The sequence below is a fragment of the Homo sapiens genome, chromosome X (genome assembly GCF_000001405.40).
Source record: "Homo sapiens chromosome X, GRCh38.p14 Primary Assembly".
In the NCBI taxonomy this organism is placed as follows: domain Eukaryota; kingdom Metazoa; phylum Chordata; class Mammalia; order Primates; family Hominidae; genus Homo; species Homo sapiens.
This window is the reverse complement of record NC_000023.11, coordinates 129,393,337-129,395,682: the sequence shown is the minus strand read 5'-3', so window position 1 is coordinate 129,395,682 and position 2,346 is coordinate 129,393,337.

Below are 2,346 nucleotides of genomic sequence, written 5' to 3'. Positions count from 1 at the left end.
GTATTAGAGATCAAATTGCTTTATGTACCACCATTACAATTCTAGAATATTCTGAATATGGCTCTGTACTACTTATATTATTGAATTTTGGGCTTTCATATGTTTTATGTTGTTAATTAGTGGATTTTATTTCAGCTTAACAAAATTCCTTTAGCAATTCCTATAAAGCAGCACTAGTGGTGATGAAGTCCCTTAGCTTTTGTTTGTCTGGGAAAACTTTTATTTCTCCCTCATTTCTGAAGGACAGCTTTGCCAGGTACAGTATTCTTGGTTGGCAGATTTTTTTGTCCTTCAGCACTTTGACTATATCATGTCACTCCTTCCTGCTTTGTAAGACTTCTGCTGAGAAGTCCGCTGATAGCTGTATTAGAACTCTTTTGTATGTGATTTTTAAAAATTTATTGCTGCTGTCGGAATTTTTTCTTTGTTTTTGATTTTTGATAGTTTGATAGTTTGTGTGTCATGGTGACCTTTTTGAGGGGGGTTGTATCTGATTGGAAACCTCTATATTCTCTATACCTAAATGTTAGCATCTTTTCCCATTTAAGGAAGGGTTTCAGCCATTATTCCTTTAAACATGCTTTCTGGCTCTCATTCTTTCTTCTCCTTCTGAAATTCTTATTATGAAAATGTTTGTTCTCTTGATGCATCCCATAATTCCTGTGGGCTTTCTTCATTCATTTTACTTTTTGTTCCTCTGATTGAATAATTTCAAATATTTGCTCTTCTAGCTCATTGATTATTTATTTAGCTTAATTGAGTCTGCTACAGAAGCTTTCCGTGGAATTTATTTCAGTCATCTTCTTCATCTCTAGGATTTTTATTTTTTAAAATTATTTATATTTCTTTGTCAAATTTCCCATTTTGTTCATGTATTATTTTCCAAATTTTATTTAATTTTCTATCCTATATTTTTGTGGTTCACTGAATTTACTTAAGGGGATTATTCTGAATTCTTCATCAGTCATGGTAGATCTTTCTTTAGGATCCATTGTTGGGGCTTTGTTTGTTTCTTTTTGTGGTGTCACATTTCCCTGATTTGTCATAATCCTTTGGCCTTACATTGCTGTCTCTACACATTTGAGGAGACAGCCACCTTTTTCAGCCTTTACAGGTGTTTGGCAGAGATCAATCTTCATTATGGAGTATAGCCTGTGATTCTGGATTGGCCAGTTGCTAATGATCCTGGTGGGCAGAGCTTGCTGTTGGGCTCTCTAGTTGGCTGGGCTGCTCTCTTAGTTCTGAGGTCAGGTAGAGTTGCTGGCTGGGCTTCACTGTCTGCTGAGACCACTGGCTGAGCTCTTATAATTAGGTGGAGCTGCTGGCTGGGCACTGCCATCACCTCTGATTAGGCAGTGTCACAGGGTATATTTCCTGGCTGTTTCCTCTATTTGGGTTTTGCAATTGGGCAAGGCTACAGGCTGGCTTGTGAGATTAGGGGGAGTCACTGCTTGAGATGGATGGGTCCAGAAGCTATAATCATTAAAAATGTGCAGTGGCAGGTGTCTCCCTGCCTGGGAAGGACCCTGGTGTGGGCTCTGAGGCTGGGCAGAGCCACTATTTGGATTATTGGATTGGGCAGGTTTGGCCTTTGCCTCTGTGCTCTTTTGAAATGCTGAGTGGTGGGCATTTCCCTCCCTGGGCAGGTCCTTGGAATCAGCTCTAAGGCTGAGCAGAGCCACTGTTTGAACTCTTGGGTCTGGTAAATCTAGTCCCTGTGCTCTGCCAAAATATGCAGACGTGAACATCTCTATGCCTAGGTGGGGCCTTGGGGTAGACTCTGAGGCTGGGCATAAAGGTTAGCCATCTAGGAACTCAAGCCAGATTGAACTTTCCACTATGTTTCTAGGAGTGACCAGCTTGGCTTTGTTGGTGGGCTGTGTCATTTTCTGGTATTTCTGATTGGGTGCCACTACTGGCTGGAACACAGAATTACTGCCAAAATCCATGTGCTAGTCACTGTAAACTCTGTCTCCTTTCTTTGTTTCTACTTGACACCAGGCGTTCTAGCCATATCATTACCTCAGTGTTCTCCTTAAAGTGGGCCAGGAATGGACTTCCTGGAAAGTGTCTTGGAATGATAGGGAAACTGAATGTCCATCTGTGGTTCTCTATTCCCACTGTAGAAACTGAGGGAAGGGGAATCCTGTGTGTGGCACAGTGCCAACTTGGAGAGGAGAGGTAATGCAGAGTGAGACTATTTCTCTTACCCTTCTAATGTAGTTTTTATTTGGTTCCATGGTCCACTCAGGGGGATGAGTCTCATTTTCATGTTTTGGGGTTTTCAAAACGGTATTCTTTTCTGTGGATGTTTGCTAGTTGGACTTTCTGTTTCAGGGAGTAAAG